General features: G+C 39.5%; 1 protein-coding gene across 6 annotated transcripts in view, besides 1 other annotated feature; it reads left to right on the forward strand.

The window, feature by feature from the left end:
- The window catches only part of PPP1R21 (protein phosphatase 1 regulatory subunit 21), a 74,621-nt gene that overhangs the window by 405 nt on the left and 57,855 nt on the right, over positions 1-16,361 (forward strand). For 5 of the 6 annotated variants that reach the window (XR_007069367.1, NM_001135629.3, NM_152994.5 and 2 more), the window contains exons 2-3: positions 9,838-9,906; positions 13,425-13,571. Coding sequence is in view for 4 of the 6 variants with exons in the window: in NM_001135629.3 (NP_001129101.1) it covers positions 9,838-9,906; positions 13,425-13,571 (216 nt within the window). In the remaining 2 variants the exon portion in view is untranslated. Of the gene's footprint in view, positions 1-9,837; positions 9,907-13,385; positions 13,572-16,361 lie in introns of all 6 variants that reach the window. The other variant, NR_024188.3, reaches the window with a different exon arrangement.
- Positions 6,192-6,693: an enhancer, noted in NCBI's record as "H3K4me1 hESC enhancer chr2:48674501-48675002 (GRCh37/hg19 assembly coordinates)". NCBI's record gives its function as "activates a minimal SCP1, AML or CMV promoter by ChIP-STARR-seq in primed H9 embryonic stem cells {active_cell/tissue: H9 hESC(primed)}" and the evidence as "EXISTENCE:reporter gene assay evidence [ECO:0000049][PMID:30033119]".

A 16,361-nucleotide genomic window follows, 5' to 3' on the forward strand; every position in this document is an offset into this window, starting at 1 on the left:
GCAGCTCCCAGGAGATGGGGCCGGGCGGTGTCTGCGTCCGTGAGCGTTTTTGCAGGGAGAAGCTGGAGTTTGATTCTTCCTTTTCACTGAAGTAGCGGGCTTGGGACTGGGATGTCAGAAATTCTGGCTTCTTGCCTCTAATGCTGGCTGAGAAGGGAAGGGAAAGGTGTGGACCACTCCTCACCTCGCTGCTTCCTCAATTTTCTCAGCCTAGGGATGGGGAAGATCAACCCTTCTCCCCTCCCACAGGGATGATATGAGGTTAAAGAGATTTATCTTCCCCCGAATCAATTCGAGAGGGTAAATAGAGACATTCGGGTAAACTGCTTCACTAGGGATGGGTGGTTATGAATGTATTCACTGCTTTGGCAAGAGGTTGTCAGGAATGATTTTGAAAGCTTGAGTGCTACGGCTCTATCCTTTTCTTTCTCTTGTCCCTCGGTCACCTAGAATGGGGCAGACACCCAGCGGGTGCTCAATACACATTAAGCAACATGGGGACCTGCCCCTTTCTCGTGTTTATGGCATCAGTCTTTTAAATGATATAACCCTTTCCTTGGAAAAGGATGCTGCAGTTTCTGGGTAGGGTGTTTCTAGTTTAAGAATATTTTAATGAAGTTATTAAAGCAGAATTTTACATCTTTGGAAATTGATTCAACAGTCATTAAGCTTAGTTTTCAGTGACTTTGGCATTCATGGAGTCAGTGGGAAGATGGTAATTCCTTTTTGCAATTTGGAGAAACTGAGACACATTTTATTCCTTAAGATTTCATTCGACAAATAGCAAGATGAAATATTCTTTGAAAAATAAAACTTGTGCCTAAACATACACACTTAATTCTTCACCATCACATAGGAGTCTTTTGAGACACTACACTTATTTCAGTGATGCTACCATTAGCAAAACTTCGTTGCATTTCCATTTGAAATTGTCTTAAGAGCCTGTGGCACAATGTTAGTGATGGCAAGTGTTCATCTTTTGAAGGAGTGTTTCCTTGCTTGAAGGGCCAGAAGTTGTTTGGAACAAATCCATGTGATGAAGGGAGGTGGGTGGAGGTTGGCAATGCTCAAATTTGGCTCTACTATTTTTGGTTGAAAATGTTTCATGATCAACACCTGTGAAAAGAAGAAAAAAATAAGAAAATGTTTCGTGAGTATAAAGCAAGGGGACTGATTTTCTTCTCCAGAAAGCCAGCAAGCTCAGAAGGCCATTACAAATGGCAAGAGGGGAGTTCCAAAATGTTTTGAGTAGGGACTACATTGCTGAAATAACTGTATAGCCTCCCAAAGTAATAAAAACTGAAAAGTTTTTGGATATGTAAGCTTGTTTAGCAGACAATATGTGCCCCCTTTGAGCAGTCTGCCAGGGTCTGTTGAGTGAGGCAGGGTTCAGCTTAACAAGTCACCTTTAATGGAATATTCTAACGTAGTACATAGTTATGATATAGTACGACAAGTGTTAGTTCAGTGGGACTACCGAAGACATTGGATAAGCGTTGAGGTTATACTGGGGATTAGAGAAGAGGAAATGAAGGAGTAGTAGCTTTCCAGGCAAAGGGAACAGTCCATGTTTGCTGGTATGAAAGCTCATTAAGATTAATGAGCTTTCACATGGCAGAGAGTGGTGAAATGAGGTAGGAGAGATAATTTGGACCCTATTATGAAAGGTTGTGGATGTCAAGTAAGAAGAGTGAACTTTACCTTTTGAGTAATGGAGAGATGCCAAAGGTTAAGCAGGGGAGTGACATTACTTTTAGGAAGGACACTGATAACTGTGAAGGATGGATTGAAATAGGGAAAGATTGGTGGGAAAAAAGCAGGGAGTAGACTGTTGAAATAGTTTTGGGGAGAGTAATGTAGGGTTATATAAAGTTAGTGACCTCTGGGGCTATAGAGTAGGGGCTAGATTCAGGAATTATGGTTAAAAAATGCTTTTCAGCTTTCCTTTTTTTGAGTGCCTGCTGTGTGCATGGCACTAACCAAACATACAAGGCACTCATCCTTGTGTCTCATTCATTTTGGGACTTGGTGAATGTGGGAAGACTCAGAGTTGTCCCTGCAGTTCTGAGGTGAGGGAACATGACTGCCACTGACACAATGAGGGCCAGCGGGAAGAAGAGCCCGTTCAGAGTGAAGGGCTATAGGAGAGGTTAGATACAGTTGAGGAAGTTTAGGGTTGGAAGGCACACTAAATTTGTTATTCACATATTATTAGTATGAGGTAATGTTGGAAGTAATGGCTGAAACTTTCTAATGGACATGGACTGGCTAAAAGTCAGGACAAAGGCTAGCACTTTTGGAGTAAGTCCCATCACGATGCACTTTGAGAGTTAATCAGGGTAGAAATTGGGAAACACCTGTCGGGAGGATGTGCCTGGAGGAGGAAGAGATGCTAAGGAGACTGTAGGAGGCCTGCCAGACTTGGGGTCATCTCCCCTATTGGACCAGGCCATTTTTCATTCTTTTAATTGCAATGTGATGGGAATTTCAGAACACAGGAGAACAGATCCTGATCAAAAGATTTCTTGTGCTTTTTATTCCTTGTCAATTCTAGTAGCAGGCAATTTCTAGATAAGATCTATGCTCTCTCCAGTCCTATGCCTAAGAGTATTCCACCTTTTTATTACCTTCCCTGGTACAAGTTTCGTGGGCTGATACTGAAATCCAGTTGCATAATTTTTCTGCCTTATTTAGGATACAAAGGAAAAAGGTGTCCTCTTAATCTGTAGAAGGAAGCCCATCAAGAAAGCAGCAAGCATGATCCCTAAGCCAAGGACATTGGCAGAGTCTTCTCATTCTTCTTTAATGCAGATTTCAGCCTTTGTTCCAGGAAAGGTCCCATCTCATAATCTTTCCTCTTGAAAAGGAAGAAAAAAAAAACCAAACAAACAGTGGTCTGAGGAGCTCCCATTAAAGACACTGAGAGTCCAGTTAGATAAAAGATGAACTGTGGAGGTCAAAGCAGATGAGAATTGCTGAGGCAAACAGATTGCTAAAAGAAAGTGTTATGGAAAGGTTAGTAAAAATGGAGATTAAGACCCAGTGGTTTGGGCAATTAGAGGGTCATTTGAGGTTCTTAATATTTCAGGTTCAATAGAGTTTGGGGAGGGAGAATGAATGTGTGTAGAGGCTGGTTTTCAGAGGTTTGTGAAGTTAATAACAGATGCAAGCTACCTCCTTGAGATGTGAGGGAAAGTTAATCAAGACCTCAGTTGCTACATTATAGATTAAGGATGAAAGACCATTTCTGACTTGCTGTTTCTTCCATGACCTGCTCTGCTTCTGATGCTCTGTTGTATCTCATTATGGAGAAGAGAGGCAAAAAGTGCTGAGTTCTGGCTCATTTGATTTTAGCCTGCTTTCTTTGCGGGAGCACTCTTGCCTGGCACCGTGGTGTTTGTGTAAGCAAGTTTCAAGTTCTAATTGTCTTTTCAATGTTTGTGTTACCCTGGGTCAATGATTCTCAAAGTGTGGAACCTGAAACAACATCATCTGGGAATGGGTTAGAAATGTAAATTCTTGGGTCCACCCTGCACCTATTGAATCTGAAACTAGCAGTGAGACCCAGCAATCTGTGTTGTAACAAAACTTTCCAGTGATTGGATTCATGCTAACATTTGAAAATCATTGATCAAGGAATGGTATTGGGATAGTAGCCTTGGCAGAAATAAAGATAATCTTTTTAAAGTTCTTTTTTTTTTTTTTTGGGACAGTGGATGCCAGCAGGAAAGCCAAACATCCATTATTTCTCTACAGTTTACTTTGCAATTGATGCTTCCTTTGCATATAAAGGGAGCTTTTTAGACTTATACTCTTAGTACACAGCTACTTGTATGGAGAAAGGGTCAGTTTTGATCCAGCATGTTTGCTCTCCAGATAACAGGACTTGGCAGTACCTGATTTATCACCTACTTTTATAGAGAAATAGACTCAGGAGCTGGATAGGATTAAAATTGAATATGAGCTTTTTTTTTTTTTTTTTTTTTGACCCTGATGTGTAGGTAGGATTCACTAGTAAAGTTGGGTTGGAAAACAGGTTTGTGTTCAGTGCTATCCAATGGAAGTTTCCATGAGAATGAAAATGTTCTGTATCTGTGCTGTCCAGCAGGGTAACCGCTAGCCATGCATGGCTGTTGAGTGCTTGAAACGTAGCTAGTGTGTGACTGAGGAACTGAATTTTAGGTTTTATTTAATTTAAATAATTTAATTAAAATAGCCACTTGTAGCTATTGAGTACTCTGTTGGACAGTGCTAGCTTAGACCCTGGGTCTTTGCATCACAGATGTAAATGTCTAAATGACTCACTTGAAGACCTTGTTAAACTGCTGATTCTGGTTTAGTAGGTCTGGGGTGGGGCCTGAGATTCTGCCTCCAGGTAAAACTATTGCAGCTGTCCAAAGACCACACTTGGGACAAGGCCCTAGAAAGACAAGGGGCAGCCTCCTCTTCCTGTTTAGTTTAACTGATTTACTCACCCATTCACCTAGGGGCAGCTAAACTGCAAGGGTTGGGGTTTTGTCGTAGTGAGTTTCCCTGCATGGGAGCAGGAGCAGGAGAAAGGATGCCATTTGAGGCAGATGTGAGTTTTTTCCTGCCTCAGTGACAAAGTAACCCTAGCTACTGCTGCATAATATGTAGCCTGCACATACTTTATCCCTGTCCTGGGATAGCAACAAGTAAGTAGGCAGAAAGAAAGACTAAGTAGGATTCCCAGTAATTTGGAATACTTAAAATGTTAGAACTGGAAGGAGTTTTAGGGGTCATCCAGGCCAGATACTGCAGCTGGGGTCTGCACATGACTTCAGTATTCTGAAGCTTTGAATCAGGGTTTTGGTGTGGCATAGGGTTGTCTTGCACACGTCACTTTGTATTGAAGAAAAGACTGTATGTTTAAAAGTTTATTTTATAGGGTTGTAAAATATGTATAAATGTCAAAAAAAGTCCACTGCATGAAGACAGCCATGTAAAAGTGGTTCTAACACAAGATTGTTGAGGATTAGCTGAGAAAATGCATATGAATGATTCATCTCACTTTCCCCAAAAACTCTTCCAACAGTTTGTGATTGAAGGTAATAAATCCCCAATCTTGGGCCATTTAGCCTATCACATATTGTCAGAGTGGCATGAGAGAAGTCATAGTGAGCTTACCAGCACTCTGTGTCCTAGAAGAAACAGCTGTGTGATAGGCCTCACTGAAGTTGGGCTATTCCAGAACCAGAGTTGTAGAGAGCAGGTCTGGGCACTGGTCATTAGAGAGTTAGGCTCAAGGCTTTTGAGGATTCTTGGTGTCCAATAGGATCATGAGGTTCAAATTATTTGGAGAGTCTTAAAAGAGAACTGTTAAAGTAATGGCAATCTCTTATATAATGTATTACATTTAAACACCTTTATATGTATAATTTATTAATTTGATTTGATTAATTTGATTAATCAAATTAACTGATTAAATAACTAAAAATTTATTGAGTTCCTTCTCTATCCATAGCATTGATCTTTCATTGCAGGCAGGAAATACAAGGAAGTATACTGTAGTCTTTACCATGGAGAACAGTTTAAGGTGGCAGGTGGGAAATGAATACAGAAATTTATTTATTAATTGATTGATTTGCTCTGTCTCCTAGGCTGGAGTGCAGTGGTGTGATCTTGGCTCACTGCAACCTCCGTCCGTCTCCTGGGTTCAAGCAATTCTCCTGCCTCAGCCTCCTGAGTAGCTGGGATTACATGCGCCTGCCACCATGCCCGGCTAATTTTTGTATTTTCAGTAGAGATGGGGTTTTGCCATGTTGGCTAGGCTGGTTTTGAACTCCTGACCTCAGGTGATCTGCCCGCCTCAGCCTCCTAAAGTGCTGTGATTACAGGCATGAGCCACTGCTCCCAGCCTATACAGAAATACATATATTAGTAAAATGTAAAATTTACTGTTTTTAGAAGCAAAATTAAAACTGAATAGTTTAATTTTAAAGAGATGTTTTGTTGTTAGTAAGTGCCAAAGGAACTGAGGCACAGGCTCTCTATGGGCCGTAGGGAGTCAGGGAGTGATTAGGAAAAATTATGGAGGAAGTAGGGCCAGTAGGTAAAAAGTAGGATCCTAGAGAACAGGTGGGATTTGGTTGGCCAAAGTGAAGAAGGGCTGTGCTCTCAAAGTAAGGGTAAAATGAATCAGAAAATTACAAAACAAGGATAAATGAGATTTAAAAGGATTAAGAGGGATTCAGAGGTACTCTTCCCCCACTGAATGGAACAGAAGAGCTTGGTGCACAGCTGTTGAAAATAAGCTCTATCATCTGCAGGAGAGTTTTTCTGTACTAATAGAGACTTCAGGGCAGTTGTTTCTCAGTTATGTCATATGCATTGGTGTCTCCATTCTGGACTCCTAGAGGCAGTAGTGACCATCCGGTAATCTTATACCTACATCTAAAACAAAAACAGTGTTCATTTGCCTCCCCTCTGTGGTGAATACTGGTGCAGAGAAAGATAGATTCTAAAAGACCAGGCTGGCTGGATGTGGTGACTCATGACTGTAATCCCAGCACTTTGGGAGGCTGAGGTGGGCAGATCACTTGAGGTCAGGAGTTCAAGACCAGCCTGGTCAACATGGTGAAGCCCTGTCTCTACTAAAAATACAAAAAATTAGCCGGGCGTGGTGGCACGTGCCTATAATCCCAGCTTCTTGGGAGGCTGAGGCAGGAGAATCGCTTGAACCCGAGAGGTGGAGGCTGCAGTGAGCTGAGATTGCACCACTGCACTTCAGCCTGGGCAACAGAGCGAGACTCAGTCTCAAAATAAATAAATAAATAAATAATAAAATAAAAAAAAAAGATCAGGCTAATAAGAGCAGCTCAGGATTTTATAAGCTTCTCATTCAGTAATGCAGTAAGAGTGGCAGAAGTGATGCTGAAATGCAGAAAAACATCAAATGTTGCAAAGAGTAGTTAAAATGGCAATAGAGTATGCAAGCTTATCATCTTCCTCCATTTCTACCTACTAAGTAATAGAAAGGTCTTTCAGATAACAGTTTCTTAAAAAGCTGCATTGTCTGTTAAATGGTTTCATTGAAACCATGTTTGAGTTACCAGTTTAGTAAAAAATATTTTGCAAAGGAAAATCCTAATTTTTTTTGTTATAATCAGTTATATTAAATTCCTAACAGCAATAGCTTGAAAGTTTCATTTTGCTTTTTAACAAAGCAGTCTGTTCAGTTTGCTTTAAATAGTCTGCAGTGTGCCTTAGAAATGAAAGATGAGGTTTTTTTTCTTAAAATTAATTGCTGTGGTTCTGGTTTTACAGGAAATTATCAGTTCAGTGAACTTCAAGCTTCATTCTTAGTCCTTGAAGTAGTCGTTAGGAGCTTCTAAATACCACACAAAGAAGACATGTAAGAGATTACAGATCACAGCTAAGGCAGGGGTATGAAATAAAATCTAACGTCTTTAGATTTATAAAATAAAATCTAAAGACTGAAGCAGTATTGCTATTTTTTTGGCTATATGGATTTGAAAGTATTTATTGAATTCTGTGAAGTAGCACATTATTCAAGACTATGTTGATATTTGCTTAAAAAGTAGAACACTACATCATGGAAGTCAACATTAAAGTGGTATTTCTCTCTTTTGAACTTCTAGAGCAGAGTTTACCAAGCTCTGTAAGAGGCCACACAGTAAATATTTTAGGCTTGAGGCTATGTGGTTTCTGTTGCAACTGCTCGTCTCTTCCATTGTACCTCAAAAGCAACCATAGACAGTACGTAAATGAATGAGTATGGCTATGTTCCAATAAAACTTTAAAAATAGCCTGCCAATTTGGCCCTCAGACCTTAGTTGGCCAACCCGTGTTCTAGAGAATTTAATCTCTTCTACTTTTTTTTTCAAGCAGGAAATACTAGTATTGCTAGTTATCTTTTAATATTTTATCTTCCCTTTTAAAGTGTAAGTTCTTTGAAAATAGAGAACATATCTTTTACATCTCTCACCCATATCAATCAAGGTGTACAATGCCTTACACCATGCAAACTATAATAAACATATCTGTTGTCATTTTGAATCTGTTCTAATAATAAGAGCTCTGTTTCCATTTGTGGAGCATTTTATAGTTTAGAAAGTGCTTTGACATAGGTTTCTTATCTGGTTCTCACAGTAGCCTCAGAAGAAGGAAGGTAGGGTAAATGAATTTACCCATTCTATAGACCATATAGCTGGTTATAGTGAATTTCCCATTCTATAGACCATATAGCTGGTTAAGTGAATTTCCCAAGTTTATATTGTCTAATAAATGGCAGAGCAAATATTTGGGTCTGCTTTCTCTTGTGGTAATGAACTGTCATCTCTAACTTTCTAAAAATAGAAGAATCTCATCTTTTTAGTCTGTCTTTTGCTCAAACTGTTGAATATCCTGCAGTATTCCTGCATTTTATCTCAGAATCTTAGCTAAATTTTCCATTGAGTTTTAAATAGTTTAAGATTTAGCATTCAAATATGCTTGTTCTTTTGGCACAGAAAAGGGTCATTTCTGTTCTGTGTTCTCAGGAGACAGATCTGAGCTATGCAGAATTAGAAAGATTTTTAAAAATTTTTTATTTTTAATTTTAGAAATAGATTTTTTTTTTTTTTAAAGCTCACATACAAAGATGTCTCATTCTTTCAGTTTCTCAGAGAAGAACCTGGTCTTTCATGATATCTGCACTGAGCCCTGGGAATATTAGTCTGTAAACCTTTTGCTTCAGCTACAATGAGCTTGTATATTTATGCTTAAGTGCTCTGTGTTCTCTTCACTGAGAATACTTTCCTCTTATTACAGAAGTAAATTTTATCTTTTAAAACCCTGCCAGTGGTGGTTATATAGATGTATACATAAGTAAAAATGCATTTAGCTGCATAATTTCTGATTTGTATACTTTATTTAAAATAGCGTTATTTCTCAGTATTTAATAATTATCTGTGAAAAAAAGCCCAAGTTTTACCTCTTTCTCCAAAGGCATCTCTCACCTCTCCAGCTCACTGCTTTTTTCACTTAAATGTAGCTTTGTGAAATAGCAGCCAGTATTGTCTAATTGGCATTATGACTTTGGAGTCCAAACTGGTAGAGTCTGAATCTCAGCATTGCTACTTAACTTCTCTGTGCCTCAGTTTCCTCATCTGTAAAATGGAGGTAATTAGAGTACCCACTTCACAGGATTGTGAGGATTAGATGAAGTAATACATAAAAGTACTTAGGACGGTGCCTAGTTTGTAGTGAGCATTCATATGTAAGTGGGTACTATTATTAACTTTTAAATGGAGCCTGCTTCTTAGTTGCTTTTGTACACTGCCCCAGCTGATGCCCGAGGCCATTGTTGATGATGACATTTGCATGTCTAATATTAGGCACAGTGTCCTACTGGGATGTTGATGCCCCACATTTTTATTTTCTGTGGAATTCTTACTTTATAATTAGTCCAGTTGTATGTATTTTACAAATGAATGGTGTGTCAGAATTTCAAGGAACATGGCATATTCAGTACCATATTATTTATTGTATTAGTTTTTATTTAGGGATGGGACTTGGTTTTATAGAAAGAGTGACACACTAGAAATCAGGAGACTGGATTTTAGTCCCATTTTTGCCATTGATTTTTTTTTTTTATTTCATTGGGCAACTCAGCCTGTGTGTCCTCCTTATCTGTAAAATGGTGAATTATTGTTATCTACTACCCTCTTTGGGTCTAATACTTTTTTGTTCTCATATATATGTGAGAAGCTACTTAGTTACTCAGTGTAATGATGCCTGTAAAATTGATGTGATTTCCTTGATATAACCAATTGCTTTATATTAGAAATTGATTATTGCTTTCTCTGTTTTCAGCTTCGGGCTCAGAATCAGGTTCTGAAAAAAGGTGTTGTGGATGAACAAGCAAATTCTGCAGCTTTAAAGGTGGGCAACAGGATATTTGTGTTGTGAGGGTTAAGTTAGCATTTGGTGTTGCTCAAAGCAGGTTCATTGGGTTTTCTGGGTTAAAGTTCCAACTCTGACACTGATTCACTAGGGATAGGGGACAGTAATACAGTCTTTTGTGGTTAATTTTCCTACTTGCTTAGGTAAGAACATGAGGTACTTTGATTTCCTTAGCTAAAAATTATAAAAAAAGGTATTATGTGACTTTGTCTAATGCATTACTCCTGTGCCTCAAGGCCTTTACTTAGCTCGGTTTATCTGGATTATTAAGGCTTCTTATCAGTTGTCATCACAGACAGCTTTCTGAGGGAGGCTATGTCATATTCCTATTTGAATCCCTCTCACTCAGCAGATGGCAGGTCTCTAATAAGTGGATTCCATTGTGTGAATCATTTAGTCCCTAAATCTTGCCTTTAGTTGAGTTATTTAATAGTAATAACCTGTGTTAATCAGGACACTCTTTGAGTGATACATTTTACCATCAGCATTTTTGTTAACTGAGGGGAGAAATATGATAGATGAAGGAATTTGTTTCTGCCTCATTTCTAGTAGGCATGTAGTAAATATTGCTTAGTGATATTTTTAAATGGATAAATTAAGTCTAGGATTTGGATTTCTTCTTGGCCAAGTTTCAGTTAAATATACTGTCTAGCTCACTCTTTTGCTCTTTCCCTTTCTTGCTCCCTCTGCTCTCTTTAGACAGATGGGATTAGGATTCCTCTTACTTCTGTCTCTTTTTGGATAAGCCCCTGATCAGTAATATGTCTGAGGTGGCTCCACTTAGGCAACTAAGCCCCAGAAATTGTCCTTTTACGTAGTCAGTTGTTGGATCCTACAGGAGAGAAATCTGTCTCTGAGTGTCTCCTCCTCAGGTGCTGTTAGCACACTCTCAGGGTTGAGATGGTTCTGAACACCCCACCCATACTTCCAGGCTCTCTGCACCCAAGCCAAGATGATTAAAAAAGAAGCTTTATAGTCAGGATTTATTAGTCAAGTTATTGTTTCACCAAAATTGTTGAAAAAATGATCATTATATCTCCAAATGATATTTAAACTTATTGCTGGGGAAAGTCTTTCCTTGTTTGTCCTAGTAGCCTGCGCTGGTGTTTCATACCCTCCTGTTGCTGGTTGTGTTTGATTAACTCTGTGATGGCAGTAATGGTAGGAACAGTGGTAGGCGTGGTGACAGCTGGTTCTATTGATTGAGCACTCACTGCATACCAGGCATTGTGCTAAGTCCATTATGTCCATTATCTTATTTAGTGTTCACAACAACCCGATGAGGTCAGATAACATTATCATCCCCATTACAGAAACTGGAGTTTAGCGAAAGGCTGGGATAGATGTTTTCTGAAATTAATGATTGGTTAATGGAGTTGGAGCATTAGTTTATTTTAAGAATTATAAGCATAATTATATATTATAATTATATAATATAAATTATGAGAAAAATAAATTATTTTTTTTTTTACTGTTTATTACAGTAGTCATTGTAATTATAGTACAACAAGTGACAATTTGCCAGTTTGCTAGACAGGAATATTTGGATTTCCTGTGTTACAGGAGGCTTTTAGTTTTATTACTGGGTTTACCCTTTCAGTGCGCTGTTAGGTGTAATCAATGCTCATTGATTTGAATTTTTAAAATTTGAAAGACATGATAGTTTGGACATGGGCTAGGCCTAAATTTGCCTTTGAACTACAAGTAAAAATTAAGGTTTTACTAAACAAATGTAGGAAAAAAATTATTTTCTCCTTAATGGGAGCATATTGTTCTATCCCTCTAGCACTTTTCTCAACATGCAGGTAATGTCAGTAGAGTGTAGACACTAGCCTATGGCTTTTAAGTTGCTGTTCCTTTTTTTTTTTTTTTTTGAGACAGAGTCTTACTCTGTCACCCAGGCTGGAGTGCAGTGGCACAATCTCGGCTTACTGCAACCTCTGCCTCCCTGGTTTGAGTGATTCTTGTGCTTCAGCCTCCTGAGTCACTGGGATCACAGGCGTGCACCACCCTGCCTGGCTAATTTTTGTATTTTTAGTAGAGTCGGAGTTTTGTCATGTTGGCCAGGCCAGTTTCAAACTCCTGACCTCGAGTGATCCGCCCTCTTTAGCCTCCCAAAGTGCTGGGATTATAGGCGTGAGCCACTGCACCTGGCCTAGGTTGCTGTTTCAATACAGTTAAATCATCTGTTCGTTAAAGCATGACCTTCATGTTTTATAATTGTTTCAGTGAAATTAGTAAACATACAGTTATTTTTTTATTTTCTATTTTTTTAAATAGAGATGACGTCTCACTATGTTGCTCAGGCTGGTCTCCAGCTTTTGGGCTTAAGCAGTCCTCCTGTCTCGGCTTCCCAAAGTGCTGGGATTACAGGCATGAGCCACTGTGCCAGCCCAGTTCTTTAAATATACAGTATTACATGGCCATCTGTGTTTGACAATCAGTGAATAAAAAGTTGTCAGAACATCATAAGTAAAATATAGTTAGAATAATTCTTTTAAAAAAGAGTGAAACTAAATATTTCTCTTTAGTTTTCCATTTTCATACCCCATTATGGCATAAACAGAACAAAATGGTCACCAGAGGGTGTGTCAAAAAGGTTAGCAGAATATTTTAGATTTTGTTTCTATTGTCATTTAGCTTTAAAGTGAATTATTGTAGGACAGCATATGAAAATATTTTTGGTATGATACTGATTTTTATCTTTGATATGTCAGAATAGTTGAAGAACAATTAAGTGTGTTGCAGACTTCATTTTGACTAATTTAAATTCAGGGAGGATTTACAGAAAAAATGGAATACAAGTATATTTCTTCCCATTCTTTTTCACTGAAGGGAATCATCAGTAAATCTGAGGTTCTTTTTAAATATCTAAGTTTGGCCAGGCATGGTGGCTCATGCCTGTAAACCCAGCACTTTGGGAGGCCGAGGCAGGTGGATCACCTGAGGTCAGGAGTTTGAGACCAGCCTGTCCAACATGGCGAAATGCTGTCTCTACTAAAAATACAAAAAAATTAGCCGAGTATGGTAGTGTGCGCCTGAAGTCCCAGCCACTCGGGAGGCTGAGGCATGAGACATGCTTGAACTCGGGTGGCGGAGGTTGCAGTGAGCTGAGATTGTGCCACTGCACTCCAGCCTGGGCAATAGAGCGAGACTCTGTCTCAAAAAATAAATAAATAAATAAATAAATAAATCAAATAAGTTTATAAATTTGTAGCCTCAATCTTTGTGTCTGTTCACTGTCATAGGATGTTAGTTGATCACGATCTGTTACTTTAGTATAGTTGCTCTTATTTTTATATTTACTTGGTTTAGCCAAAAGATTATCTTTTCACAAAGTGCTAAAAACTTAAGAACTGAAGTGATACACATACAACCTGAATTTCCTAAAGCAAGAGGTTTTGATTATATTTTGGTGAAATAGAAATAATTTTTAATAAAATTTCTAAACCTTACAGCTAAACTGTGAGGACCAATCTGTTTTCACTTTGATATAGGAGCAACTGAAAATGAAGGATCAGTCATTGAGAAAACTACAACAGGAAATGGACAGTTTGACATTTCGAAATCTGCAGCTTGCCAAGAGGGTAGAACTACTTCAAGATGAACTAGCTCTAAGTGAACCACGAGGCAAGAAAAACAAGGTAGGTTCAAATACAGGCAAGTTAGTGTGACCTTGTCGTTAGTTACTGACACCTACAGGGCATCCTGGTTTTAACAGAAGACCCCACTGCCGAATTATTTTTTTCTTTGTTTGTTTGAGACAGGGTCTTGCTCTGCCACCCATGCTGGAGTGCTGTGGTGTGATCTTGGCTCACTGCAACCTCTGCTCCCAGGCTCAGTGATCCTCCCACCTCCGCCCCCAGAGTGGCTGGAAGTATAGGTGTGCACAACCATGCCTGGCTAATTTTTGTATTTTTTGTAGAGATGGGGTCTCACTATGTTGCCCAGGCTGGCCTTGAACTCCTGGACTCAAGCGATCCACCTGCCTCGGCCTCCCAAAGTGCTATGATTACAGGCATGAGCCATCATTCCCGGCCCTGAATTTTTTTTTTTTTTTTTTTTTTTGAGACAGTTTCACTCTTGTTGCCTAGGCTAGAGTGCAATGGCACGATCTTAGCTCACCACAACCTCTGCCTCCCAGGTTCAAGTGATTCTCCTGCCTCAACCTCCCACGTAGCTGTGATTGCGGGCATGTGGCACTCCCAGCTAATTTTGTATGTTTAATAGAGAAGGGGTTTCTCCATGTTGGTCAGGCTGGTCTCGAACTCCAGACTTCAGGTGGTCTGCTCGCCTCAGCCTCCCAAAGTGCTGGGATTACAGGCCTGAGCCACCGTGCCTGGCCCCGGCCCTGAATTTTTAATGTTCCGTTGTTACACCTGGATATTAGGTCAAGAAAGCAGACTCTTATTATTAATATATATTAAATGTTAGGGACATTTATATGATAGTCAATTTTAAAGAACTTATTAGGAGCAAATGTAGTTGGTTTAGTGGCCGAGAAGAGACAGTGGAATATCTTATATTAGCTAAAATTTTTGACATCTTTTGGTTATACCAGGTTGCCATTAATCCAAGGTTGAGCAAATAAAATGAGGGAGATTGTCAAAGCGTTACTACTCATATGAAAGTAGCGGCCGGGCGCGGTGGCTCACGCCTGTAATCCCAGCACTTTGGGAGGCTGAGGCGGGCAGATCACGAGGTCAGGAGATTGAGACCATCCTGGCTAACATGGTGAAACCTTGTCTCTACTAAAAATAGAAAAAATTAGCTGGGCGTGTTGGCAGGCGCCTATAGTTCCAGCTGCTCGGGGGAGCTGAGGCAGGAGAATGGCGTGAACCTGGGAGGCAGAGTTTGCAGCGAGCCGAGATCAGGCCACTGCGCTCCGACCTGGGTGGCAGAGTGAGACACTGTCTCAAAAAAAAAAAAAAAAAAAAAATAGTAGCAGTTGAAACACTTATACCTTAGGTTTGTAAGTTTACTGCAGATGTAATTTCTTAGCATTTATTCTTACGAGGCCAGTTTGGTGTTCTTGTCTTGAGATTTAGAGATGAGTTTTTTTGCCTTATGGTTTTATATGGTGAGGTGGGATTCTTATTGCTCTAAGGTGGATAATCTGGTACTTTTGAACATTGTGATTAAGAGATTGCTGCTCTTTTTTTTTTTTTTTAAGGGTAGAAGTAGTGATTGAGTCTTTAAGTCTTGTATGTATATAGACTAACACTCCACAAATGTATGTATTGAGGCAGTAACAGTAGAATGGGTAGAAGGGAAGGAGAAGGCACACAGTGACTCTGAAGGAGTGCAGTATGGCCAGAAGAGCACAGGCTTCAGATTTAAGCCCAGGCTTGAATTCTTTGGTTGCCTTTAATAAATCTGTGACTTTCGGCACAATTTTTAACCTTGTAATCTTAGTTTCTCCATCAGCAAAGTGACAATGAGCCTTTCAGGTTTGTTGTGAGGATTGTATGGTATCATGTAAAAGTGCCTAGGGCCATATTTCCCATGTAATGGGTAGTTGCCATAATTATATGTTAATAGTTTTCCCATATGCATTTCCCCACATAGAAGCATTCCCGAGAGTGTTAGTGTTCAAATAAAGGAGGCAACAGAGAGGGTATAACACTTATGTATTAGAATCACTTGGGAAACTTTTTCAAGATATACATACCAGGCCAGGCACAGTGGCTCACGCCTGTAATCCCAGCACTTTGGGAGGCCGAGGCGGGCAGATCAGGAGGTCAGGAGTTGGAGACCAGCCTGGCCAGCATGGTGAAACCCTGTCTCTACTAAAAATACAAAAAATTAGCCCAGCATGGTGGTATGTGCCTGTAATCCCAGCTACTTGGGAGGCTGAGGCAGGAGAATTGCTTGAATCCAGGAAGCCGAGGTTGCAGTGAGCCGAGATCACACCATTGCACTCCAGCCTGGGCGACAGAGTGAGACTCCCTCTCAAAAAAAAAAAGATACATGCCCTGGAAATTCTGAAAGACCCTTGGGGAGAGAATAGTCATCTGAACTTCAAACATGTTCTTCAGGTTCTTAATATCCCTGCCTAGGACTGTTGAGCAGAGGTTTGGGTGTAATATTGAGAATTAATTTTAATTAAAGCTCATCAAATTTGGAAGCACTAAGGACCCTGAATACATCGTTCTGCAGTGTTCCATATGCACCTCTTGTTTTCCAAACATGATGGATATTTAATTTCTTTTTATATGGCTACTCCATTTTCAAAGGGCTTTTAAATCACTGATTCAAATTGGATTAGTAGGTGAGTTCATTTTAAGTGAGAAGTGAGACTACAAAAAAAGCAGAGAAAGGGTGGTGACTGATGTTTGAACACAGTTTCATTGTTAGGCTGTTCCTTGAATAGTCTCAGTTCTATGTATTACATGAAAACAAATACTCATTATTAGATGTTTTAAATAGTGCTA

This window comes from Homo sapiens, chromosome 2 (genome assembly GCF_000001405.40).
Source record: "Homo sapiens chromosome 2, GRCh38.p14 Primary Assembly".
Classification (NCBI taxonomy): Eukaryota; Metazoa; Chordata; class Mammalia; order Primates; family Hominidae; genus Homo; species Homo sapiens.